The sequence below is a fragment of the Homo sapiens genome, chromosome 1, assembly GCF_000001405.40.
Source record: "Homo sapiens chromosome 1, GRCh38.p14 Primary Assembly".
Taxonomy (NCBI): domain Eukaryota; kingdom Metazoa; phylum Chordata; class Mammalia; order Primates; family Hominidae; genus Homo; species Homo sapiens.
In genome coordinates, this window is record NC_000001.11 from 201,749,567 (window position 1) to 201,777,562 (window position 27,996).

The following is a 27,996-nucleotide window of genomic DNA, read 5'->3' on the forward strand; positions in this document are numbered from 1 at the left end:
GCATTTGCTCCCAAACCTGTTTATGCCAGTTGAACTTGGATAATATAATTATTACATAAATTGATGAAATATGAGCATAAAAAGAAAGTTGTTTCCATAAAGACTATATTGGAAGTTTCAAAAGGGAAATTGCTAGCCTGGGCAACATGGCAAGACCCAGTCTCTCCAGAAAAGAAAAAGCAAAATTAGCCAGGCATGGTGACACATACCTGTGGTCCTGGCTACTCAGGAGGCTGAGGTTGGAGGATCACTTGAGCCTAGGACGTCGAGGCTGCTGCATTGAGCCATGTTCACGCCACTGCACTCCAGCTGAGCAACAGAGCAATTCTCTCTCCAAAATGAAAAGAAAAAAGAAAAGAAAGAAAAGGCATGTTGCTGAGTTATATGTAGGACTTGAAAGGTTAGAGGAGATTATAAAACTCTAGAGGATTTTGCTTTCAGATTGCTTTATGTTGTTAAAATTTTGCTCCACCTTAAAGAAACTGACATTAGACTTGATAATGCACTGTAGGTATGGGTGTGAAGACTCAAGTTGGAAAAGCAGAAGTGTATCAGGAAAAATTCTATTGGTCCTAGTACTTTGAATGACACTGAGGTTCACTGGCAACTTTCTGTGTAATTTTTTATAACAAAGACCTACCGCTGCAAGGATTTTACATGTAATGAGTGCCTAAGGAAGGTATGAAAAACCCTTCCCTGGAAGTCTCCCAAAGCAGAAAAACACCCATTTGCGTGGATGACTTGGTGCATCAGTGATAGGGGAGAAATGACTGAGGTAAACTGTTCATGGTATGAGAGTTGACCAAGTCAGGGTGGGGAGGGGAGGAAGAGGGGCAGGTGGACTTGGTGACTCTGCCTCCCTTTCAAACAGAGCAGCCCTGTGTTTACCTGTTTCATACATTGAGGACTTCTGGTTAAAATGTTAGTAAAAACGATTGCTCTTCTTAAAAAAGGGCTTGCAAGCCACCAGATTAGGTCTTTTCCATGTCTTTCTTTCTCCAAATCTATATGAGATCTAAATAAGCTCTCCCCAAGTCAGACAGAGGACATATTTTTAGTGCTCAAGTCATAGCTTGTATTTACTCATTTTCAACTCTTTGGAGTAATAATTGATGAAATTTATATTTACTCACACCTACCACTTGGTTGATGCCCAGAGGGGCTGTCACCTCCCAATCTCAGAAAGGCAGGCAGGAATTTTTGGCCTGCCTGCCTTTCTGAGATCGGAGGAGGCCTGGAGGGTGGGGTGAAGTTGTGAGGACCCCTTTTCTAAATTGAGAAGTGGTCTGGATCTACCCTGTATCAGAACAGGATGGAAGAAAGAGCAGGATGTTTTTATTTCTGTCTATTGCCTGAAGGCATCTCCTCTAGAAACAAAACCAGTTTGATTTTGATTAACTTTCTCTTCTTTTAATTTCAGTCTTCCTTCTCTTGACTTCTTTAAGGATTATGCCAAAAGTCCTAGACTGATCATAAAGCCTCAGAACAGGAATTTCACTCATAGTTGCCCAAGAAAAGCATGTTAATACCAAAAGTAATTTCCTAGCCAGTCATTTCCTGTGTTCTCAAAATTGTTATTTTTCTCTAAGATATGTATCTTTAGATAACAAAAACTGTTCTGCCTCTCAACCTGGAGGAGGTGATGTGGCAAGAGGCATCTTGACGAAAGCATGTGTAAAAGAACATGTCAGAGAAGCCAGGAAAAGGATTGATGTCCTGCTAAGTATATGTTTGATATCCAGCCCAGGTTGGAGCACATTTTTAGCACTGAAGAGATAAAGCACCTAAAAATCTAATGCTGACTTTGTCACTGATTTGTTCCACGGCTGAGGGCAAATCTTCCAGCCTTAGTTTCCCCCCTTTGAAGAAGAATGAAGTTCACTGGCAGTTGAGAGGCACATAATGGGTATGAGACAGTTTAGAGAGAATGGAATTTTGTCTGAATGGAAAGTGCATCAGTAAGGATTTGCTACAGAAATATGGCAATCCAATCTCATGGGGTGTTGAAAGCAATAACCGGTTATGAAAATTGTCAGGTATTAATATTTGCAAAGCACTATAGATACTTCAATACCTGATTCTGTAAAAACTGAGTAGAACATCTGCCTTTCAAAAATGTTTGGTAAAGCTGGCATTTACAGGTTAAGGTTTGAGAAGTTTAAATCCTTTCAGTTCCCTGTTATTCTTTCCTCCATTCATTCTTCATCTGTAAGTGGGCAGGATGTCATGCCTGGGGCATGTCGTGAGTGGCTTTTTACCTTGCCTGAACACCTGTGTATGGTTTGTTTCTCTGGAATAAGATCTTTACTTCATCCAGTTATTGTTTAAGAATTAAGATTCCTTTTTCTTTTCGTTCTTTTTTTGTTCAAAGCTTTGTAATAGGTGAGAGATGTGCTTACTTTCACATGCATGGAAAACTCACCCATAAAAACGAAGGTCTTTCACAATGCATTAGCTGGGTTTTCTCTCCAGTGCTGACCTTTGACCTCCATGCACAATGTGGTATTCAGCTGTCCTGTTCTCTGAAGTGAAAACCTTCAGAGCCCTCAACAAAGATATTTCACCAAGAGTAAGCAGTCCATGAACTAAATGACTTAAGATAAGAAGGCGGTTAATTCTGAAATAAAGATGAAGGCAAGAGGTCTATAAAAATTACAAAGCCCTCCAAGGCCGGATCACTGATCCCCCCCATGGTGAGGGTGACAACTCAACCTTCCTTAAGACCCGAATTAAAGAGACAAGTGCACTTTCTATTCCATGGAATTTCTAAATGGATTTCTTTGGACAAACCTGCCCAGTGTTCCTTGGTTGTATTAATAAAAAGAGTAGAGAATCTTAGTGGGGGAGGAAGCTATTCAGAATGTATGAATTAAGAGGGCTTCTTGGGAGCACTTCTTTTGAAATCCTTAACAAGCACTCTTATTCTAAGGATCTCAAGCCCATTTATGGGCTGCTTGGCAAGAAAGAAAACTTCACAAATAACACATGGTCCCAGTCATCACCTTAGACAAAGTGCTAAGAAGGTAACGGATTACAGCTTTGCCTTTTTTTTTTTTTAATTGCTCTGTAGAAATGTAAAGAAAGACTTAGGCTTAGGAACAAGCTTTGGGTGTTTAATTGTCAGGTTTGTTGAGGAGAAGGAGACAGAGAGGCGAGGTAGGGAAAAGTCATAATTTGGTTTACACGAAAAAAATCATTTCTAAGGACTGTGTTCAGAATATTTGTCTGCCAATTGTGCAAAGACATCCAGATTTCCATGGTGTGAGGAAACTGTTCTTTACTGCATCTACCTCACAGTGGTAACTTGCAAATTTTTCCCCCATGAAGCTTTATTTTTGGTGACCACTGTAATTTACATGTTGGGACCTATTATTAACTGCTAGTTTTGCACTGTTATTGGAAATCTTCACATTAGGAAAGAATGTAGGGGTAGTTTTGGGGGGAACGAGGGGCTCAAATTAAAGGTTACCTTGTATAGTATCTCAGCTCTGTCTGGGATCCGAGAAGGAATTAGAAACTCACACCCCCTAAGCAAAGAAAGCTTTGGAAGGAAGCTTCCCAAAGGAAACTTCTCTAAGGAAGAGCATTCACATATCTTAGAAGTGGCTTTTCAGAGAAAAAACTATCACGTAAATGCTTTTAAAATGGTCTATTTTGGAGCCACTGTGGCATACATACTGCAGTTTATCCTAGGAGACAGGATTGATGAGCCCCTGTAAGAACTGCATTGCATATTTCATAAATGTAAAAAGCAGAGGCAATTGTGCTATATTAAATTTCAGCCCATAATTGGGTAACTAGAGAAGCCCCCATTTAATTAAATTCCGCTATCCACTGTATGATAGGAAAATTTGGTGACCTTATGTTTGACTACTGTCTGCGATTGAAGAGTGGTTAAAGTTGGTATAAGAATGTATTGTGTATCTTTCAAATGTCCTTATTAGAGAAACGGATTGGGGGTAATATTTTACCTTAATAGTGCTTCTCCAGTGACTCCTTCAGAATGACAGTGCTCAACTCAAACACCGTGTGTTTTCATTGGCTAGGATAAATGTTTTCCACAGAAATGACAAGGCTTCAGGCTCTCAAGAAGCTCTCATCATGAGAGGTCAAACGATTTTACACACAAACAATTCCACAGCACATTCTGCATCCTTCTTGCAATTTTTAAGCTGTGCTAGGCAAACTCCACATAGGAGCACATTCCAGAAACACACTGGGGGTTACATAAAGGGCTAGCTTCTGTTTGGTGGGTAAATGTGCATATGATTATTGTTGTTACACAAAAGAAGGGACCAATAAAGTCCTGATGTGACTTTCCCAACTACAGAAACCCAAGAAAATTCTTTGCCAGAAGTAGATACATTGTCATTCTGATGGCAGATGACTACCCAAAGAAGGGGAAAGTGAAGGAAAGCTGGAATCTGGGAACTTGCAATGGGATAAAGTTGCTTTGAAGAAAGCACTTAGCAAGTGTTTTTTTTCCATATTGCCTTCTTTCCTGCCACAGACCCTAAGATTCTCTAATCACCTCTGTTCCGGGGAAAATATTTTAATATAACCCCTTGATTCATTCAACAAGTATTTATGGAGAATCTACTCTGTGCCAGACCCTTCCACCCAACCTCTCATACCCTATACAGGAAGATACTCTGCCATCATGTTTGCCAATGGGACAGGACTCCCAAGGGAATAGGTAGAAGAGGAACACCAGTAAGTCAAGAGCCACATATAATGAAAGACCAAAGTGTAAAAGGTGGGCAGAGGAGGAAGAAGGAATCTGGATAAGCAGGAACAGAAAGAGAATGCTGTCACCGAGGCTAACAGAGGGAAGAATTTCAAGGAGTGACTGACAGTGTTAAATGCAACGCAGAAGTCAGAAAGGATGAAAAAGTCCTAGTTGAATTAGCAATGTAGAGATCTTTGGTAACCCTTGCCAAAGAGATTTCAGTGAAGCAGTGGAAATGAAAGCCAAGTTCCAATGAGTGGGGGAGTAAATGTGAGGTAAGGTGGAGAGGCGATGAGTGTAGTAGTTGAAAGGAGAGACAGCTGGTAGCCTACAAATGCAGGCGAAAAGTTCTCTCCATGTGGCTCATGAGTGATGAGGCAGCAGGATCAAACTAGACATAACTATCTCCTGCTCTATCTGCTTTTACCTTTTTAATCCTATGATCTATGCTAGAAAATTTTTTATTTTATGTTATTTGTACCACAGGATTTGATTTTATTTTGTCCTGTTATATTAACTAAACCAGTTTTTAAAAATAGGGAAATAATGCGTTTCATTCAATATGTACAATGGACCCTCCCAATAAATTAGCAATAAATTTACATAATTTGTCTCAAACAATGGAATTATGCTACAATGTTAAAGAATATGTCATATCAGGTATAATGTTTAAAAATGCCAGTCAGGAACAGAGGAATGACTTTAGATAATTTGAGATACAACTTTAGAGAAATTAGTGCCTTTAGACATCAGTAATAAGAATTCAGAGTAAAGACAACATGTTACTTAATACCTTGCCTTAAATATGCCCCAGTTGACATTTTGTACACATTTCAACATTTTTCAGCAACACTAGAAAGAATCAACAAATACTCTCTTATCTCTAAAATAACAATTAAATATTTTGCATAAAAACATTTAAAAACTTAAGATATTATCTTATTTCCCCTGCCTGGGCAACAAATTGAGGCCCCCCCTCTACAAAAAATTTAAAAATTAGCCAGGCATGGTGGCACAGGCCTGTGGTCCCAGTTACTTGCCTGAGGCAAGAGGAGGTCAAGGCTGCAGTGAGCCATGATTACACCACTGCACTTCAGCCTGGGCAACAGAGTGAGACTCTTGTCTCAAAAAAAAGAAGAAAGAGAAGAAGAGGAGGAGGAGGAGGAAGAAGAGAAAGAGGAGGAAGAGGAAGAAGATATACTTATTTTAGCTTAACTTAGTTTTTATTGTTATTTGAAAGGGCAGTAATGATTGGCTATCAACATTGCTGCAGGATAGGAACTAAACTGGTTTCCATGACCAGATATAGGCTAGGAAAACTTGCATTCTTAGTTCAATTTTAGTTAGAGGCTGCAAGACAAGAATCATAGTAGTGTGGTTTGTGAGATTTGGCAATTAATGCACTTACACATTAGTTGCTTTATGTCTGGAAAGACCTGGAAGGTGAAAGTCATTAAAATAAACCTCCTCCTTATGCCTGGCGTGGAGAAGAGGCTCCTAGAAGAAACACAGCTTTAAAAAAAGTTGTGGGCTGGGCACGGTGGCTCACACCTGTAATCCCAGCACTTTGGGAGGCTAAGGTGGGTGGATCCCAAGGTCAGGAGATCGAGACCATCCTGGCCAACATGGTGAAACCCCATCTCTACTAAAAATACAAAAAAATTAGCTGGGCGTGGTGGTGCATGCCTGTAATCCCAGCTACTCAGGAGGCTGAGGCAGGAGAATTGCTTGAACCAGGGAGTCAGAGGTTGCAGTGAGCTGAGGTTGCGCCATTGCACTCCAGCCTGGTGACTGAGTGAAACTCTGTCTCAAAAAAAAAAAAAAAAAAAAAGTGGTGTAGGGTGGGCAGAATAGATCCAGCATGAAAAAGTTGCCACTTAACAGTTTAATTACTACTAAGGAGCAGTGTTCCAAGTAACAGACTGAAAATTGGGGAAAAAAATAAACAAATATGGGCATAATGCAGAGCCTATATAAAAATATTTAAATCTTCAGTTCTCATGTGTTTTTCTAGATTTTCTGTAGTCTGTAGCGCTATAATCATATTTTCAGACATTTAAAAAGCTTAGTTCCCTGAATGCTTCATACTTCCTTGCTAATTCTGGAGCAAAACCATTTTACCAACTCTTCATATTGTTTTATGTCTCCCTACAAAATATCAACACAAGGCACAAGAAGTGTCTCAGGGCCCTCTACATTTTATAACTAAACATTTGGTCTCTCTGGCCAAATAGACTGATGGTGTCCTGGGTTGTTGCCAAGTAGGGAAGACTCTGCAGTCTCCTTCATAATGCCTTAAAATCCCTACTTCCTTGCTGCCTAGCTTTTTAGTCAATATTTTGCCTTCATGTGACTCAATATGTAGAAATTCTCTGCATTTTCACCCTGAAGAAAAATTCCTTCTCCAGACCAATAGGTTTTCTTCTCCAGCACATCCCACATTTTTTATAGTTCCTTCTCCAGGTGTCTGGAAAAGGGCAAAGAACTAATGAGCAATTCTCTTTCTTTCTTTCCTTCTTTCTTTCTTTCTTTCTTTCTTTCTTTCTTTCTTTCTTTCTTTCTTTCTTTCTTTCTTTCTTTCTTTCTTTCTCTGTCTTTCTCCCCACTACTTTGGCTTTCTTTGTGATTGATCAGAAAATGATTCACTCTTAGCCCCAAAAGTTTCCTTCTGTGGTCACAATAATAGTGGCAGGTCTGGCATAGGAGTATGTTAAAGTAGGCTGTCCACAAGAGCCCTACTGTTATACGGACCTATGCGGCACTTATGGTTCTAGCCATCCCACAGTGTCATAATGTTCAGACAAAGAAGCAATCCCCATTAACTCTCTGTTCAACAATCCCCATTAACTCTGCAGCTTGACTTTCATGTGGTACATGCCATTGAACATCTGAAAAAGCAGTCTCTCCTCAAGATCTCTGAAGGCAAGAAGTTTTTAGAGGCTTCTTTCAGTTTCTTTCTTTTTTCTTTTTCTTTTTTCTTTCGACTGTCTTGCTCTGTTGCCCAGGTTAGAGTGGAGTGCAGTGGCACAATCCATAAATCATAGCTCACTGTGACCTCTTAACTTCTGGGCTCAAGCTGTCTTCCTTTCTCACTTCCTGAACAGCTGGGACTATAGGTGCTTGCCACCACGCCCGGCTAATTTTTTAGTAGCGATGAGGTCTCACTAAGGCTGGTCTTGAACTCCTGGCCTCGAGCGATTCTTCTGCTTTTGCTGGAATTACAGGCATGAGCTGCTGCATTCTGCCTTCTTTCAGTTTCTATATTTGATATTCTGTCTTGATATAGATTGCACACTATTATAGTTCATACCATACTCTACATCTCCAGTGCTGTCATCAAATGACATTCCCCCAAATCAGCTGACCAGGGGCATCTGCCATTAACCTGGGAAACTATTCTGAGTTCATTTTCATCCAGCGAGGCACAAGAGGGTTGACCCCAAAGCCTAAGCTGTGGGGCATCAGAGCACTGACGTCTTTGACTCGGAAGACTAACCCAAGTCTGAAAAGAAAGACAGGGCTGTCCAAAGCAAAAGCATCACTGTTGCTACCTGGCCAGCCTAGTTGCGGTGGAATGAGACATCATGAGGATGATGCAGCTGGTTCCCAGGTGGTTGTGGAAAGCTGTTGGCTGCACCCACGCATAGGACCCCTCTTGGCCCATCCAACGCCCCCAAGAGCCACAGGGCCTCCTGCCCCCATCCATATGTCTCAGTATGGTGGCCCCACTTGTGGGGACTCATCCGGCATTTTTTTTCTTGTCCTCACCATGAGGGATTGATGTTTTGGATTCTTGCCCACGAGTTGCATAGACTTCCTTTACAAAGTAAGGTCTTTGGGGCCAGATAGGGTCCTTGATAAGTTTTCCTAAAGAGGAAAGATGCTAGAATGGGCAGTCCAAAAAGAGTGCCTGTCCCACCACATGTGAAGTCAGTTAAATTATCAGTAGCTGCTCTTCAGCTGACACCCTGACATCGATTTCTTTTCTTCCCATTCTACTGCAGGCATATGATGTTGACATTTTATTTGGTGGTGATCATATTTAAGGAAGTACACTGATTTGCCTTTGGAAACTGTAGGAACCAACCTGAGCAAATATGTAAGCTTTCTGTCAAGCTACATAGCCTATCCTACATTATTCTTTTTGCTAAAGCCCTTCAGATACTTGGAGCATGTCACTCTTTCAAGCAAATTGTGTTTTGGTTTGCAGGCTTTTTGAGGTCTAGGAACTAACCTCATTTCTTTTTCACAATTCTAAATCCCAAATGTCAGAAACTACTGAGGCGCAAGGTAGAAGTGACGGAGCAGACACAAATTAAATTTGACCTGGAGACTACCTTTTTGTGCAAAGAGTCCCTAGAGATGCATAAGTGATCTTCACCCTCCAGTGGAACACCGTTTGGAAAGCTGCCAAATAATGCACTGCAGAAGTAATCCCATATGGTCCCCAAGTGATCTGAGTAAATGCCTAATTTAGTTTTGCTATTCTGTGACCACCCCTAACTTCATTTATCTCTCTCGTAATGGAAGTATTTGTAGTATATGTAGTGGTTAAAAACAGTCTTTAGAGTCAGACAGATCTTGATATTACAATGGCTTTGTTTTCTTCTTACTAGCTGTGGGCCCTTGGGCATGTAACTTTATCTGTTTTAAGTTTCAGTTCTTGTTGTAAGTAAAATGGAAGCCATATCTAACTTGGAATTAATATGAAGCTTTAAATGAGGTTATACATGTATGTTAAGTGCCCAGCAAAGTGCTTGGCATACATATTTAGGTGCTGAACATATGGTAACTATTGTTGTAATAACAATATCTAGTGATGTTCCCCCCTCCCAAAAAAAGATTAGATTATTTGCATTGATTAGCCTACATCTGGCAGCTCCACTAGAAGTATAATGTAAAATGCATGCCCTTTTGTGTCATTATAAAAGGCAGCACATTAAAGATGCCTTTTAATAGCAAGTATTTAAGAAACACTGGGTTTCCACAGTGCATTAGTTAGTGAAGAAGTGGAGAAACTGCTTTGGTTTGATGCAAGCTTAGAGGCAGATAACAAGCAAACAAGTGAGCTAGATATTGCATCAACTTCACAGACTGAAGGAGGGCCATCACCCAGGCTTCAGCATATCTAATGTCGAAAAGTATGATGCAGAGGTCGTGAGTGTTCATTAATATCGTTTGGTTGCCTTCTCAGGTTCCTAAATTATTTAAGGTGGTTTTCCAGAGAGCCATGAATCTTTTCAGTAAAACTGCAGATTTTCCTTTGATTTCATGCAGGACACTGCTGCATGCTTGTCCAGCAATGCAGAGGTTATGCTGGTTATGCTTGACTGGATGGGTATAAGTAATAGCTAATGTTGAGTTGGATCCCAGCCTGCCTGATGATTAAGTGAACAGCATCTTTCCACAGAGCAGTCTCAGACTTCTACATGGATTGCTTTGCTACAATGGAAATCTTGACAGTTGAATTCACACAGATTAAAAACTGTTCAGTAATGAAGTGTGTCCTTAAATTCTCCTACCTTCTCGTGACCACTTCTTTTGAAATAATGATATCAGGGTGCTAGTTGAGGGATTGAATAAACTCCCCCAGTAACAAATTGGTAGGTTTCCCTTGCAATACATTGAAGCTCCTTCAAGTCCTGAGGTTATTGTTCTTTGTGGACAAGTAAAAAGAGAAAACTTATCATCTGGTACTCCTGCCCCTGTGGCTGCTTCCACCTATATCATTGCTATTTTTAGTTTTGAACTTAAACGAGGATGGGGCATCAAAAAGAGTTACAAAAGTTACTGGAATTAGGAAATCTAGCCAAGCCACTGAGATCAAAACTTCAAAATAATCCTACTAGGGATTGCTGAAGCTATATCAAAAGTTTATATAACCTGGTGGCTGGGCATGGTGGTTCACGCCTGTAATCCCAGCACTTTGGGAGGCCCAGGCGGGTGGATCGCTTAAGGCCAAGGGGTTCGAGACTAGCCTTGGCAACACGGTGAAACCCCGTCTCTACCAAAAATACAAAAATTAACCAGTCTCATAACCCGTTCTCAAAATAAATAAATAGATTAAACTTTTTTAAAAAAGAATATTATGTTTTAAAAGTTTATATAACCTGGAAAACAGCCTCATCTTTTACCTTATTGATGACTCTCCATAACCAGCCTGAAGTATTTCTTTTCCTCTGCATTTAGTGTAGGGACAAGAGTTCTTTTTGTGTGGTGACCCTGCTTAGATTTGTATTAGAGTAACATTCTTCATCCAGAGTTGTTCACTGACTTTCTCCCTGGGGACCTCAATAGGGTGTGAATTCCTGAGAGAAATGTTTGCATTCTGTGGTGAGTTGGTTTCTCAGTATTATTTTTGAAAAGGAAAATAAATCAAGTAGCTTAACTTGCAACAAATACTTCAATAACAGAGTGTTATGGTGAATCTGTGGATTTGGATGGGAGTCTCTTTATGTGCATTACAAAGGGTCATTGTGTCACATAACTTGCCCGTATCCTGAATAGATCCTCCCACATGCTCAAGCCTCTGGACCTAGAGAGGCACTTCTCTCTAACTAACATGGTACCATGTAGTTCAGTATAGTAGTGTGCAAGCAGACAGACTTGAGGAATTAGCATCCAATATTCTTCTCTTTAGGTTTTAATATTTGGAATTTGTGTTTGTTTCTGTTTTGCTGGCAGCTTTCCTTTCTGATGTTCCCTTTTGTTTGTTTTTAGTAGATTGAATGTGGACAGCATTAGGGTAGTTACAGCAGAAAAGCTTGCTTTTGCCCTCTATCTTGACTCAGGATTTAAAGATTTTGTTGACTGAATAAGGAGACCGTGAACAGAAAAAAGATGACCTCCTCAGCTTTTGTAGAAACACTAAAGAAGACGTTGGAAAGTGGACTTCTTATTTAATAAAGAAAAAAAGAAGGTGATAATGGAAGGCCAGGGATTCTGGAGTGAGAAAACTGAATATGATACAAAGAAGTCAAAAAGCGGGGAATAATGTGTTCAGAGGGAACGCCTGGCAATTCATTTGGTTTGTGGTGGGAAGCTTCATTCCGCGAAGAGAGAGTAGCTCAGTGGCTGGAGGTGTTTATAGCCAGATCAGCGTTTCACACCAGCAGTCTGGCCTGGGTCTTTTAGAGCTGCCAGAAACTGCTCAGAGTTGCACAGATTTCTCAGCCTAGTAGTATGAATTTGGGGCCTGATTCCTATCCCTTTTTCCTCTTTCAGTACTCACTTTGCGCTCACAGGGTGATCTGAGATCTGAAGATGAATGGCAACGTCTTCGTTTAATAAAGTAGACTTTTATTTGTTGCTTTATGCATCAGGAACATATACAGGCCATATACGTTCTATATCACTTCTTCCAACCTGTGTAGAAGAATTTGTGCTTCTGACCAAAAATGGTTTTTGCTTCTGTCAACCCTACATAAGTCATTCCATCCCACTTTAAGGCATCGCCTACTTCCAGAATGGAGGATTGGCAATGACGTACAAGCAGTACGAATGCTTCTTTTTTTCTTTTTCTTCTCTATTCTTTTCCAACCTCTTCCTTTTTTTCTGAGTCAAAACTAAATCAGAGGCCATGCTCAGTGATTCATGCCTGTAATCCTAGCACTTTGGTAAGCCAAGGCGGGAGGATAACTTGAGGACAGGAGTTCAAGACCAGCCTAGGCGACATAGTGAGAACTTGTCTCTACAAAAAAATTAAAAAAAAAAAATTATCTGGGCATGGTGGCACCCGCATGTAGTCCCACCTACTCAGGAAGCTGAGGTGCGAGGATCCCTTGAGCTCTGGAGCTTGAGGCTGCAATGAGCTGTGTTTGCACCACTGCATTCCAGTTAGGTGACAGAGTGAGACCCTGTCTCAAAGAAAACAAACAAACAAAAAACCCAAAAAACTGAATCAGTAGTAGAAAAATCTTGTTTTGACTTGAAAATTGAGCAGGTTAGATCAGAAGTAATAAAAGTGGAAATCCAAGAGGTCATTCTTAGCCCAGAGTTGCTTTTTTGCCCAGGACTTGTCAGTTACGGAATTGTTATTTCTTTTCATTTTTAGGGGTTCTTTTTTTGGTCTAGCCCCAGGGCTGGTGACCTTTGGCCTGCTTGGCCAAATCCAGTCCACTGCCTGTTTTTGTATGGCCTGCAAGCTGAGAGTGGATTTCACATTTTTAAATGATTGGAAGGAACAAAAGAAGAACAATATTTTGTGACACATGAAAATTATGTGAAATTCAAATTTCAGTGGACATAAATAAAGTTCTATTGGAACATAGCCGGATTCATTTGTTTACATACTATCTATGGCTGCTTTTGTGCTACAATGGCAGAATTGAGTAGTTGTGACAGAGACTTTATGGCCTGCAAAGCCTCATAAATATTTACTATCTGGCCAACCCCTACTCTGGACCCTTAAGCCAAACTTTTCCTACTTTTCGGAGTATTGTCAATTATCTCTTACTTCCTTATTGGTTTAGAGAAGGTGCAGAAATGCAGACACTATTCTACATTTCTTTTCAATTAGCTAGGGATTTTGGAATTGTGCAGTGGACTCCTAAGGAAACACTGCAGGAAGAATATGGGTGAGACAGTGGTGAGGAAGTAGGAATTATCTCATGAAATTTAAAATCAAATATCATTTTCATCCCTTTCCAAAAATCCTTAAAATGGGACATCTATGTGGGTTTTAGAAAGAGAAAAAAAAAATGTTGGTTCTGAACAGAATCCTACTGACTATTCTTAGAGCCTCCTTCAGGCCCTCTCCAATAAAAATATGGAAACTCAAAATAAGGTCACTCACATCAATTGACACCTTAATTTTGTGACTTTTTAGTTTTCCTCAAGATGTTTTCTTGACCAAGTTAAGAATCAAAATCATTTTCCTTGATGTTCAAACTTTCTAAAGATTTTGATTAGTGGGTGTTCAATTACCTGTTTATACTTGGGGAAATTGAGGCTAAGACAAGTACACTAACTCAACTGTAGTAATAGCGACTAGTAGAGATAGAAGTACATACTCAGTACTCCAGAGCTTGCTCTAGAGGACTGCCTTTTATCTTTTGAAGGTGAATTTGATGGTATCCCTGAGAATTTTTTGCTTTTCTTGAGATTCTCAGTTATCTTTCACTCTTTGAAGGATTTCAATTTCCTGACTTGGAAACATCTGAAAAAGAGAGGAAGGTGCCTTGTTTTTTCATTCCCACTCCTGTGAAAGAAGTACAGGAGGGGAAAGACTTGGGGCAGACAAAAAGGGAAATCTCTGAAACTAGAGAAAACTCAAACAAATTGTGGCCAGCCGAGTCAGCATTCCTCACCCACAGTTGGTCCTAATTAAGGAGACTCCCGTTAAACAGCTCAACTTTCTGCTCTTTCTTCTTGCTCTGGCCCTGCCAGCTGACATGGCAAAGCTTTAACCGACGGCTTGGAAACAGTCTCTCATGTCTTTCCTTCTATATTCTCACTTCTCTGTCTCTCCTCTACTACCCTGCAATTACCCTTTCCCACATTAAGATCCCAATAAAATATATTGATACCTCTAATCCAATTGCATCCATTTTGTTCCACAAAGTGCTATCCAAGCTGTTTGCAGGGCTGAATACTTGTGTATCATGTCATTACAGGAGCACATATAGAGCCTGATTTCATCACAGAAAGATGGAATTTCTCCGGGATTATTTCGCTGCCAAGTCCAAGCAGCAATGATAATTCCTTCCACTTTGCCTGACTCCTTGATTTTCTCAATCCATAGCTTCTACTGTGCCTAGCAGATGGATTCGGGTATTTAATTTTCCTATAATAACCTATGATATCATGATTTAAAAAAATCTGATGGCAGTAAATCTGAATTGAAAACTAGCCTGAATCATAGAGGTGGTCAATATCCAATGTAGTTCAATGGGGGATATTGACATGTAGATAAAATAAGCTTATTTTCGTAACTTAATGGTTGTGGTAGTCTGCTCAAGCTGACATAACAAAATACCACAGGGCAGGTGGCTTAAACAATAGAAGTTTATTTTCTCACAGTTCCGAAGCCCAGCAGTGCAAAATCAAGGTGCCATCTGGGTTGGTTTCTGATGAGGCCTCTCTTCCTGGCTGTAGACAGCCACCTTCTCACTGTGTCCTCACATGGCCTTAACTGTGCACACACAGAAAGAGAGCTCTCTGGTGTCTCCTTTTTCTTATAAGGACACGAGTCCTATCAGATGAGAGCTCCACTCTTATAAGATCATTTAATCTTAATTACCTCCCTGAACGCCCCATCTCCAAATACAGTCACTGGGAGTTACAGCTGTAACACATACACTTGGGGGGAACATAATTTATTCCATAACAATGGTCTAAATTTAAGAAACTCTCTTAACCTTAGGGCAAAAATTCAATGCCAGAATCAAGAAAGCAATGCCTAAAGCAGGGTGTTAGGAGGCAAGATGATAATTTAAAGAAAATTTTCTGAGTCATAGACACATTTGAGAATCTGAAAGTATGATCAGATACCAGAAGATTGCACATGCATAGAATTTTATGTATAACTGCAAGGGCATTCGGTTCTCCAGACCAGTTACTTTTCTTTTGCCACTGGCAAGATGGCGTCTGTGAAGAACAAGCACAGAAATGCATGGCTTTATTCTGACTGAGTGGGGTTCTGCCTAGGTCTGGACCTATGGCCCTATTGCCACCATTAAAAACACTTGAACCTTTATCAGAAAGGAGAGTGAGCTAAAGTGGGTATGCTGAAGGTGGCTAGAACTTCAGCAAGGAAGCCTTGAGGTGAACTAGATTTAGAACCAAGCAGACAAGTTTTCACACTTTTCCATTATATTAAGAATCATCAGAAATAACAGAAGTCCTTTCTCTATGGGCACATTAGGGTGGCCTTTTATATTCTTGGAGGTGCCATGTCCCTGTGTTTATTTGCTTTAACTCCTTTCTAAGTGCCATACAGAACTCTGTCAGTCACTATAACTGAGTGACTTAAAAGAAAAAGGCAATGGTGGAAATCTATTATTTCAGCATCGAACAGAATGATCAAGGTACAGTAGAGCATTGGAGTATAATTTTCTTGGATGGGTTTGATCTTCAGGAAATATTCTTTTTTTTTTTTTTTTTTTTTTCTTTTTTTTGAGACAGACTCTTGCTCTTTCACCCAGGCTGGAATGTAGTGGTGCCATCTCAGCTTACTGCAACCTCTGCCTCCCAATCTCAAGCAATTCTTGTGCCTCAGCCTCCTGAGTAGCTGGGACGACAGGCGCGTGCCACCACACCTAGCTAATTTTTTGTATTTTAGTAGAGACGGGGTTTCACCATGTTGCCCAGGGTGGTCTTGAACTCCTAAGCTCAGGCGATCCGCCCACTTTAGCCTCCCAAAGTGCTAGGATTACAGGCATAAGCCACCACACCCGGCCCAGGAAATATTTACAAAATTCGTGGTAGTAATCTTCATAATCTTCCCAGTTGGGTTTGAGTAAGAATTCATTACCTAGGTGTTGCAACAGATACTCTAAAATGGTAGCCTCCAAAATTGTGATGACTATTTTTTCTGATTTTTTAATAACGCCATGTAACCAGTCTGTAGGATTTAAATCTGAATTTGGGCTTCCCTAGCTATGGTCCATTCATTAAATTAGCTTCAGCATTTGAGAATTGAACAAATTAATCAGATAGTTCTGTGATTGAAACTAGAGTTTAGGAAATGTCTTTTAAAAGTTATTGAAACCATTTGTTTTCTTATAGGACTGGAATTGTAAGAGCTTACTGCCAATATATCAAGGGGCCAAATAAATTTTCCTGATTGCACATATCCTCCAATTTCATATAAGACTCTGATTACCTTGTTCTTTAAAGTCCTTTCTTCTTGGTGATTTTTACCCTTGATTAAGACTTGGCAAAGCCTTAACTCAAAAAAATTTACATTGGCTTCTTCTCTGCCCCACCCTCTCTTCCTCTAAATCTCTCACTCTGCGATTCATCCTTTCCTCCCATTGCCTGGCTTTGTTGGCCAGGTCAAGCTAGTTTGCTGTGATCTCTGCCAAACCACAGACATGTAATGAAGCAGACACTGTACTCCCCCTCGCTCTTGGAGTTCTCTAGGGCCACATGGGGATGAGGAGTAGGAGAGGTTACTGACTTTAAGAACTTTGGCAGTACTTGAACAGAATGTTGGTTTCTCTAGATGGTCTTGATTCATTTTCAAAACTGAGCATCACAAAACTGCCCAATTTCACTCTGACTCTTCTATTATCTTTTTTTTAAAAATCACTTATCCTCTTTAACCTCTTGAATGGTCTCCGAGGACTATGGCTCATAATTTCAATGTTTGCACCTAAAAATGTTACCACATTTGTTGCCATCAAAGGGATCAGCTGAAGTTTAACTGCAAACCGTAGCTTTCTCAGGTCATGGACCAAATGTAACTACTGTAGCAGCTAAAGAACTCCAGCTCTTTAAAGCGGACATTTCATTGACCAAAAGTTTCCTGTTTAGGACAGCGCTTTCCAACAGAAATCTAATGCAAGCCACATACTTTTTTTGTTTTTTTGGTTTTTTGTGTTTGAGATGGAGTCTTGCTATGTCGCCAGGCTGCAGTGCAGTGGCGCGATCTCAGCTCACTGCAACCTCCGTCTCCTGGTTCAAGCAATTCTCCTGCCTCAGCCTCCCGAGTAGCTGGGATTACAGGCACGCACCACCACACCCAGCTAATTTTTGTATTTTTAGTAGAGACAGGGTTTCACGATGTTGGCCAGGATGGTCTCATCTCCTGACCTTGTGATCCACCTGCCTCGCCCTCCCAAAGTGCTGGGATTACAGGTGTGAGCCACCGCGCCTGGCCCACATATGTATTTTTAAATGTTATAGTAGAAACATTTAAAAAAGTGAAACAAAGGCCAGGCATGGTGGCTCACGCCTGTAATCCCAGCACTTTGGGAGGCTGAATGAGCAGATCACAAGGTCAGGAGTTTGAGACCAGCCTGGCCAATGTGGTGAAACCCTGTCTCTACTAAAAATCCAAAAATTAGCTGGGCATGGTGGTGGGCACCTGTAATCCCAGCTACTTGGGAGGCTGAGGCAGGAGAATTGTTTGAACCCAGGAGGTGGAGGTTGCAGTGAGCCGAGATTGCGCCATTGCACTCCAGCCTGGGTGACAGGGCGAGACTCCGCCTCAAAAAAAATAAAAATAAAAATAAAAAGTAAAACAGGTAAAATTAATTGTAATATGTCTTATTTAACCCAATGTATTTAAAATATTATTTTAATATGTAATTAATATAGAAATTATCAAGATAATTAAGATATATTTTCCTTTTCTACTAAGTCTTTGAAAGCTTACTCCACATCTCAATTGGGACTAGCCACATTTCGAGTACTCATTAGCTACATATGGCTAGTGGCTACCATATTAACACAGGTGTAGGTCACCAACGTCTTAACAAAGGAGTCCACTTGCTGCAGGGACCAGAGATGGAACATCACTTGCTAATTTTCTCATTAGGGATCACATCTCCATGACTGTCTGAGTGACCTTTGGGGAAGTATGGATTATGAACTGAGTGGCTCACCTCCAGGAATGGGTCTGAAGAAAGCATAAAAGACCATTGAAGAATGGGATATCTTTGGAACTTTGGATTGAGGAAAGTCCAAAACATATTCCCTTGTTCAGATGTACCAAACTAGTCTTAGACTGGGACAGGTTGTCATTTCTTTCATTTGACTTGGATTTTTGTAACTTGGTCTCTCCCTATTAAGAGTTTAAGTCAGCTGGGCATGGTGGCTTATGCCTGTAATCCTAACACTTTGGGAGGCTGAGGGAGGCGGATCACCTGAGGTCAGGAGTTCGAGACCAGCCTGGACAACATGGTGAAACCCCATCTCTACTAAAAATACAAAAATTAGTCAGGTGTGGTGGTAATTACATGCCTGTAATCCCAGCTACTTGGGAGGCTGAGGCAGGAGAATCACTTGAACCTGGGAGGCAGAGGTTGTGGTGAGCCAAGATTGCGCCATTGCACTGCAGCCTGGGCAACAAGAGTGAAACTCCGTCTCAGAGAAAAAAAAAAAAAAAAGAGTAAGTACAGGCATGGTGGCTCATGCCTGTAATCCTAGCATTTTGGGAGTCCAAGGCAGGCAGATCGCTTGAGCTCAGTAGTTTGGAACCAGCCTGGGCAACATGGTGAAACCCTGTGTCTACAAAAAATTAAAAAATTAGCCAGGCGCAGTGGTGCGCACATGTAGTCCCAGCTACTTGGGGAGCTGAAGCAGGAGGATCACTTCAACCCAGGAGGTCAAGGCTGCAGTAAGCTGAGATCACACCACTGTACTCCAGCCTGGGTGACAAGGTGAGATCTTGTCTCAATTAAAAAAAAAAAAAAAAAAAGAGTTTAGAATCCACAACCACAGTTTTGTAGCAAACAAGTGCTAAAGTGTAGACCAAACACAAAAATAAATATATTTGATGTTGAATCATATGAAAGTGCCCAGGTTTGACCAATTTTTTACCTATAAGATTGGCAATTTCACGTGGTTTAACATAATACATTTTATCATAGATAGCAAGAGTATTCTTAAAGTAGCAAGCAAGGAAAGCTATATCTTAGCTTTAATCTGGTGTAGTTCCAAGAAAGCTATGGAAAATTTCAAGACTAGAGCAAATATTAGGAATGCATTCTGGTCTATAGTAGTGTATTCTTTGAGATCAGCTCAGTCCATTTCTAGCCAATAAGGTTAGCCTCTTCAAGAGGACAGATTAGTTTTGAGTCTGTATGTATTTAATTCTAACTTGGACTGATTCCACTTCCAGCTTTATGTGCTCTTTGCCCTGTCTCCTTAAAATTATCAAGAATAATTTGAGTATCAGGGGCAAATGTCATGAGATATCGCTGGCTGCAGAACCATCTAATGACAGCCTTATCTAAAACACTTGCACTATGAAAAATGTTCTTTTTATTTTGATCCATAGACATTCTAGCCCTTGGCAAACCTAGAACTGGGCTCATCACATTTGCTAGCCTCCTACTTATCTTGGTTTTCAGATTACTCTCAGTCCCTGGGTCAAATTCACACTTTGTCACTGTTGTCTATTTCACTGCCTAACCTAGGTCACCATCCATCAACTCTAGCAAGTGAGACAATATCAAGAGTTGTGATTATTGATGCTCTTTTACCGCTCTGCCCCATTTGATGTTTGTATATTTGATAGAATACAGTGCATACCTAGTTGGTATAGTGATGGGGACTGAAAAGCCCTCCAACTCTGAGTCTGGCTTTTTTTCATGATTGATTTGGGGATTTGTTTCCATGAAGTAGGGTACATTTTGTGGCCAAATAGCTTCCTGCTGTCTTGGAACCTGTTTCCAGTTTAGATGATAAAGTTAGTTATTCTCTTTCCTATATGAGGAAGCAAGAAGTCCTAGGTATCCCCTAGGCTTCCAATTCCATAAACTCTACTGGAAGTAAAAATAATTATAAGAGAAGAAAAAGAAAAAAAAGAAAACTCTCAGCTGTTAAAACCAGCCTATTGTACCGCAGATATTTCTCCACTCTCAGAAGAGAAAGTAGAGTTCCATGTATACAGCTCTTATGCATTAAGTAGTAAATAGAGAAATAGTTACTGATTCGCAAGGCATATATATTCTGGACAGAAGAACAGATTCAGTGTTCAAGTCTGACTTTTAAGAACCATGCTGTGCTACAGAAGCAATAAGGATTTTTTCCTATGTAGTCACAAGCTGGTCCACTCTTCCAGTTAGTTAGCCCACACCCTTGGCCCTCTGGCTGCCTGCAGGCTCCCTTGGCTATTCAAGTTCCATGGAATAGCTGGGCCTAAAATGTGGGGAGCAGACGGTGTGAGAGAAGTCTGGGAGGGGTAGCCAATCCTAGCCAAGAACTACGTTAGTGTTGGTGCTTTTCCCAGAGGGGAGGAGTGTTTCCTGCCCCATGCATTGCCACGTGTCTGCACAGACACAAACAGAGCAGTGTTCAGTTGAGCTGGCCTCTCCACAGTCCCTCTTTTCATCCTACAGAGGAGATGGATGCATCAGAGTGTTCCTTAGACTATGGTATCAGTGCTAGGAAGTGGGCAAGAAAACAAGAGGAGGAATCAGTTGCCATTCTTAGCAGCCCTAGATGAAGGGCTTTATTTATTCTAAGAGCACTCAAGGGGCTAATTTATTGAAGGGAATCGTATAGTGTCCTACACTATCACTCTCATCTTAACAACAAGGCTAAGCTGGATAAGCAACAAACATAACTTTTTAAAAATACAGATATCTAAGGATGCAAAGTACTCTAATTGAACTAAATTCCAGAAAGAGAAGAGCCATTCCTAGGAGAGATGGAATACATGGCTGTTTTCCTCCTAGGGTATGGCTAAGAGGAGCAAACCCACCATAGATGAGGATAAGGAGAAAATAGCTGAATTTCCTACAAACTTTTGAAGGCCACATGTAGGCTGGCCATAAGGAGCCCTAATTATAGAGCAAATAAGTACCCACCTACCCCTAAATCGTTCTCATGAGGGCTTCACTGAGTACACAGTGGCAGCAAGCTGATGGCTAAGGGCAGGACAGAAATCTGAGAAAGATCCCTGCCCCCACCCAATGTACACAGGACCTTCACTGATTATACAGCAGCAGTACAGTACAGTACAGTGGAACCTGAGAACAGGGCAGGAGGGTAGAGAAAGACCCCCTCCAAAGCACAAAAATCCTTCATTGAATGCACAGAAGTGGCTCACCAAGAGTGCAGAGAACTCCACAGCAGCCCAAAGCTGGCAGCTGGGCTGGATGGCATAGAGAGATCTCTGGGGACTCACTATGATCAGATCTTAAGTGCTACTGAAAGGACAGTCCTGATCCTGCCCTCAAAACATCTGGTGACCCGGGAGGCAGAGCTTGCAGTGAGCCGAGATCCCGCCACTGCACTCCAGCCTGGGCGACAGAGCGAGACTCCGTCTCAAAAAAAAAAAAAAAAACATCTGGTGATTTGGGAGGCTGAAGCAGGCAGGTCACCTGAGGTCAGGAGTTCAAGACCAGCCTGGCCAACATGGCGAAACTCCATCTCTACTTAAAATACAAAAATTGGCCGGGCATGGTGGCAGGCACCTGTAATCCTAGCTGAGGCAGGAGAATTGCTTGAACCCGGGAGGCGGAGGTTGCAGTGAGCCGAGACCACACCATTGCACTCCAGCCTGGGGAACAAGAGCAAGACTTCGTCTAGAAAAAAAAAAAAAAAAAAAAAACTGGTGAACTGACCTATAACAGAGCCCAAACCTGGCTCTATGACAGGCTAGACTGACTCAGCTCTCAATCCTAGCAGCCTAACAGCGGAAGGGACATGTCCTTTTCTGGATATACCTATTGCCACACTTTTACACACAACATCTGGCATAAAATAAAAAGTTACAAGACTCAGGAAGAAGCAGAAAAAATAAGACTGAGGGAAAAAATAGTCAATAGAAGCAGATCCACAGATGAGCCATATGTTGAAACTAACAGACAAGGATTGTAAAATCCTTTTTATAAATATGTTTAAGGATCCAGTAGAAAAGGTGAATTACATTTTTGTATAGATAGGGAATTTCAGCAGAGTACTGAAAGTTCTAAAAAGAGAATGTTAATAAATTCCCCCAACCCCAAAGCAAGGATTACATTTATAAACAAATTACTAGTTATTCTTGGAGAATATATAAATAGCAGCTCCAAAATCTTAACCTTTTTCCTGAAGTTATGCATTCTTGTTTTCATATAAGCAATGAGTGAGTGCCCACTGTATACAAGATATTGTATGAGGGGTACGAAGAAGCATAAGATTTAATCCTAACCTTCAGGGAAATATAGTCTAGTGAAAAGATGTGTGGACATAACTATTTCAAGGCAGACCACTCTAACAGAAGTATAGATATGTCTGTAGAAACATAAAAGAGAATGGGATTTTTCTGGCAAGGAGGATCATGGAAAGCCTCATGGAAGACTTGGCATTTGATCTGGAAATGGAAAATGCCTATGTGAAATATGAACAGATAGGGCTTATGTCCACTGATGTCAGATCCCTGGGATAATGCCAGGACTCCAGAGACTTCAGCAGCACACAGATCACTGCATAGTGGTGTGAGGACCGGCTCCTCATGCAGGTCTGTATTTCTAAAAGGAAATTAGGCAAGACAGCTGGTCACCTAATAGGAATCCTGGGGAACATAGGAAGTAGGAGTGGGATGGGAGTGGAGAAAAGTGGATAAAGCATTATGTTTATCAGTATTGTAACATGGTAAAGTCATATTTCTGGATTTTATTGGAGATGAAATCATTCCTTCCTCTGTATTGCTTTATGTATGTTGTCTATACCTCTGTCATGGATTTATTTCATTTATACACCTTTCTCCATCCTTGGGTTATACGCTCATTCTGGATAGCCACTTATTTTGAATGCCCATAGCAACTGATACCATGCATTATAAATACTAGGAGCTTGGGCCGGGCACAGTGGCTCATGCCTATAATCCCAGCACTTTGGGAGGCCAAGGCGGGTGGATCACGAGGTCAGGAGATCGAGACCATCCTGGCTAACACGGTGAAACCCCGTCTCTACTAAAAATACAAAAAATTGGCCGGGCGTGGTGGCGGGTGCTTGTAGTCCTAGCTACTTGGGAGGCTGAGGCAGGAGAATGGCATGAACCTGGGAGGCGGAGCTTGCAGTGAGCCGAGATCATGCCACTGTACTCCAGCCTGGGCGACAGAGCAAGATTCCATCTCAAAAAAAAAAAAAAAAATACTAGGAGCTTGATGACTGTTTGCTCAATTGAAGTTGAATTTAACCCTAGGCAGAGTTTATAGGGATTAAACTCAGGTAGTCTGGCTCCAACATCTGTGCTCTTAATCACTATACTACATTAATGATGGCTCATGAATAATCTTGATAAATGGGCTGTAGAATGTTTTTTAAAAAATACACAGAGACAGGGTCTCACTATGTTGCCCAGGCTGGTCTCAAACTCCTGGCCTTAAGCAATCCTCCCTCCTCAGCCTCCCAAAGTGCTACGATTACTGGTGTAAACCATCATGCCCAGCCAGGCTGCAGAATTTTTATTTTATCATGTCAGTAACAGAGAGCTAATGAAGGTTTTGCTAAGTGCCACACTTTTGGGTGATTAGGCTTCTGATTATATTCAGTGCATGTTAGAGGGAGGGAGGAGTAGAACTGATAAGAAGTCTTTCACAGTGGCTCAAGTGAGAGGACATTAGGCTCTGAACCAGAGCAAAGGCAGGGGAAAGTTAAAGGAAGAGACAGATTTGAAAGGAAAGTGGTAATACAATCAATGATGTGTTACAGTCTTGATGAGGAGGGGGAGGAAAAAGGAGTTGAAGACATACCTAAGTTTTTGATAGAGCAATGAGGGGAAAAGGTGATGCTTTTTAGTGGAAATAGGGAATGAGACGTGTAAATTTTGGAGGGTAGACTAGATGATATGAGGAGAATAGTAAGTGGGAAAATAAGTATCCCATGGAGAAAGTTCTTTAATTTACCTCTATAATCTGTTATAGCTCCCTTGAAATATCCGTTGACAAGGTTCTTCATCTTCATTGTCCTGTTATATCTGACTCAATCTCTCATATGCTCATTCAGACTCATTTCCTCTCTGTTCTGGGGGTAGATGAAAATGACAAAGTGCCATTGTTCTTATAAGAACTCGCCCCAAATAAAAACTTTTGACACCATTTCTGTCGTACATCAGTAGCCTGTTGGTGGTTGTTTGGATTTGTAGATTAGATTATACAGGGTTATTGAGGTCTCTGCATTCTTTGTTGTTTTCACCTCCTCGTGAATTTAGGCCTAGCTTGTTGTTGCCCAGCTCTCTTTTCTGTACTTGAGATCTATGTGAGAAACAAATATAAAGAGAAATGGGAGGGAGACAGCAAAATCCAGCTTAGAGTGAGCAAAGAAATTCTTTCTGCCAAACAACAGATGCAGTAGCCCTGCATAACTCTGAGCCCTGTCCTCTTTACTTTATTCTTTTTGATGCCATATTTAAGCTGCCTTCCTTTCTCCCTGCTATCTTGAGTGACCAGGCAGTTGCTTTGCAGTACTCTGACTGATGAACTGTAAAATTTGCAAACTCTTCTAAAGACATTCTATTCTTACACCTCAACCAGTCATATGTTTCAGGATGGACAGTGTCCATCCAGCCTTTTTTCTCCCACAGCTCTTGAGTCTTCAAAAAAAATCATCTAGCCCAGGTGCAATGGCTCATGCCTGTAATTCCAGCTCTTTGGGAGGCTGAGGCAAGAGGATCACTTGAACCCAGGAGTTCATGACCAGCCCGGGCAACATAGCAAGACCCCATCTCAAAAAAAATATTATCTAGATGGTTTCTTCTGCCTCTGTGTAATTTGACTTTGGAACTCCAAAGCTAATGTCTCGTCACCTCTCTCTACTCAAAGGCTACCCATCAGGATATCTTATCCAAAAGAGTCACTTAGGATATATTTCACATATTTCACAACTACCACAAAAGTTAAATGAAAATAAAGCGTTTTTCTTTTCATAAGTCATAAAACCACAAAGACAAAGAATAGGAGAAGAAAGAGATAATAGTGATGAGATCATGGGAAGCTGGAAATCAGACTGGCAAGTATGAACTGGTGGATCAGACTTAAAGTCGAATCCTGAGCCAGCAGTGGAGGAAGTGGGGCAGCAACTCAATTTGCACCCCAGAATCCTCAAAAAGCTTCATAATTGGTGGCATCAGGTAGGTTTAATAGGGGAAGAGGTAAGTCTAAAAACAAGAGGACTGGTTGAAAATTTATAGAAAAAACACTTAGACTCTCAGATTCTCCCCTCCATTCCCCTCCATCTGCTCCCAAAGGGGGAGCCCTTTCCCTCCATTAACAGAAGACTGGAGACATTTTCTGGAGAGAGTAAAACAGGTAGTCTCTGGACTGGTGGACTCCTGACACAAGTGAGGGCATAGATTTTAAACTAAAACAAGGGAGAGGGGAATAAATAAAACTTTGCATATTGAATGTTGAAAGCTCCAGGCTCTTCTCTAACTCAGCTCGTAGAATGCTGGTCTTACATGCTGCAGGCTGGAGTTTGGAAGACTCACCTCTAGGAAATCTGACCAACCCATGAGAAAAAACTTAAATGAATCAGTCCAATCTCATCTCCCTATACTGAAGCCATAGTTGACAAGTCCTACTGCATGTGCACAAAGGTTCTCAATAACTTATAATGAGTGTCCCAGTCTTCCATATAAGCAAACAGCCAAGCTTCATCACACATCTCAGAAGGTCTATAACACGAAGTCCCGCCAGTACAAACAGAACAAAGCAACTTGGAACCAGAAACTATGCAAGGACATTGGAAACCTGCCCCTCCAAATGAATGAGTGAATGAATGTCTCCGAGAGTTGAAAAAGAGATTGTATCCTTGAAAGAAAGAACAGTATGCTGTTTAAAATTTTTTAAAGAAGCCTTGGAAATTTAAAATATGGTAGAAGCCTGGGCGCAGTGGCTCGCAACTGTAATCCCAGCACTTTGGGAGGCTGAGGAGGGAAGATTGCTTGAAGCCAGGAGTTTGAGACCAGCCTGAACAACATAGTGAGACCCTGGCTCTACAAAAATTTTAAAGTTAGCTGGGCATGGTAGCACACGCCTATAATCCCAGCTACTCGGGAAACTGAAGCAGAAAGATCACTTGAGCCCAGGAGTTTGAGGCTGCAGTGAACTATGGTGCATCACCACACTCTAGCCTGGGTAAGAATACAAGATCCCGTCTCTAAAATATACATATACATATATACAATACCCATACATACATTTATGTGTATATATATGTATGTCTATATATTTATATGTGTGTGTACCTATATATGTATGTGTGATAGAAGAAATGAAAAACTTAATAGAAAGGATGGAAGATAAAATTGAGGCCATTGCTCAAAAAGTAGAGTTTAGCAGCCAGGCTGGCTCAAGCCAGTAATCCCAGCACTTTGGGAGCCCCAGGTGGGAGGATCACTTGAGACCAGCCTGGGCAACATAAGGAGACCCTGACTCTACAAAAAAAAAAAAAAAAAAAAAAAAGTTCGGGCATGGTGGTTCACGCCTATAATCCCAGCACTTTGGGAGGCTTAGGCAGGCAGATGACGAGGTCAAGAGATCGAGACCATTCTGGCTAACACGGTGAAACCCCATCTCTACTAAATATACAAAAAATTAGCCAGGCATGGCAGCACGCGCCTGTAGTCTCAGCTACTCAGGAGGTTGAGGCAGGAGAATCGCTTGAACCCAGGGGACGGAGGTTGCAGTGAGCCCAGATTGCACCACTGCACTCTAGCCTGGGTGACAGAGCAAGACTCCATCTCAAAAAAAAAAAAAAAAGAGTTGTTTTTTTTTAAAGGTACTAGAAAATAAGAGAGAAATGTAGAAAATCAGCCAAAAAATCTGTTAACTGAATTACAAATACTCTAGAAGAGAGAACTGAAAAATGAAGAGAAAATCATCAAAAAATTTTTGATAAAATTTCTCAAAACTGAAGGTAATGAGTGTGTAGATTCAAAGCATCCGGTAAAGTACCCAATACGATGGATAAAAAATAACTCCCACACCAAGGCACATCATTAGCGATGTTTCAGTGCACAAGAAGATGCTAAAAGTTCCAGAGGGGAGACAAAAAAAAACAGGTCACATACAAGGACAAAGAATCAGAAGGGCAACAATAGAAACAGACATAGAACAATGCCTTTAGATTCTGAAAGAAGATATTTTCAGCTTAGAATTCTGTGGCTACCCAAAATCTCACATGTAAAGATGGAATAAAGACATTTTATGACATGTAAGGTCTTACGAAGTTTACTTCCAAAGCACCCCTTTTCAGAAACCTACTGGAAGAGGTACTTCACTGAAACAAGGAGTAAAACAACAAAGAGGAAGACTGAGATTCCAGTTTAAGTCAGGTATAGAGAATCGCCAGGATAATGAAGTGTGGTCGCATAATGTCAACTATTCAGCAGATCCAGAGAGCAAACAGCTAGAAGATATATGCATAGGGATATTTTTGAAGGATGCACAGAAAACTGTTAATAATAGTTACCTTAGAAGTAAAAATGGGAGGGCAAAAAAGGAGCACTTTTCCTTTTTCCTTTATATAATATCTGGATCCTTATTAGAGCATGTACTATTTCTTTTGTTTTGTTTGTAGTGACAGAGGTCTTGCTTTGTTGCCCAGGCTGGTCTTGAACACCTGGCTTCAAGGAGGAGTTTTGCACCCAGCCTTTTTTTTTTTTA

General features: G+C 41.0%; 1 protein-coding gene and 2 long non-coding RNA genes across 11 annotated transcripts in view, besides 1 other annotated feature; 1 reads left to right on the forward strand and 2 right to left on the reverse strand.

Annotated features, from left to right (window-relative positions):
• The window catches only part of LOC124904483 (uncharacterized), a 55,488-nt gene extending 27,512 nt beyond the window's left edge, over positions 1-27,976 (reverse strand). Inside the window, exon 1 of the long non-coding RNA XR_007066790.1 lies at positions 210-27,976. This is a non-coding gene — a long non-coding RNA (uncharacterized LOC124904483). The remainder of the gene's footprint in view (positions 1-209) is intronic.
• Positions 1-27,996, forward strand: part of NAV1 (neuron navigator 1) — a 287,843-nt gene that overhangs the window by 210,440 nt on the left and 49,407 nt on the right. The gene's annotated exons all lie outside the window — the stretch shown is intronic.
• IPO9-AS1 (IPO9 antisense RNA 1) overlaps positions 1-27,996 on the reverse strand; it is a 141,304-nt gene that overhangs the window by 61,311 nt on the left and 51,997 nt on the right. The window lies entirely within an intron of this gene.
• Positions 2,459-2,958: an enhancer, noted in NCBI's record as "H3K4me1 hESC enhancer chr1:201721153-201721652 (GRCh37/hg19 assembly coordinates)". NCBI's record gives its function as "activates a minimal SCP1, AML or CMV promoter by ChIP-STARR-seq in naive H9 embryonic stem cells {active_cell/tissue: H9 hESC(naive)}" and the evidence as "EXISTENCE:reporter gene assay evidence [ECO:0000049][PMID:30033119]".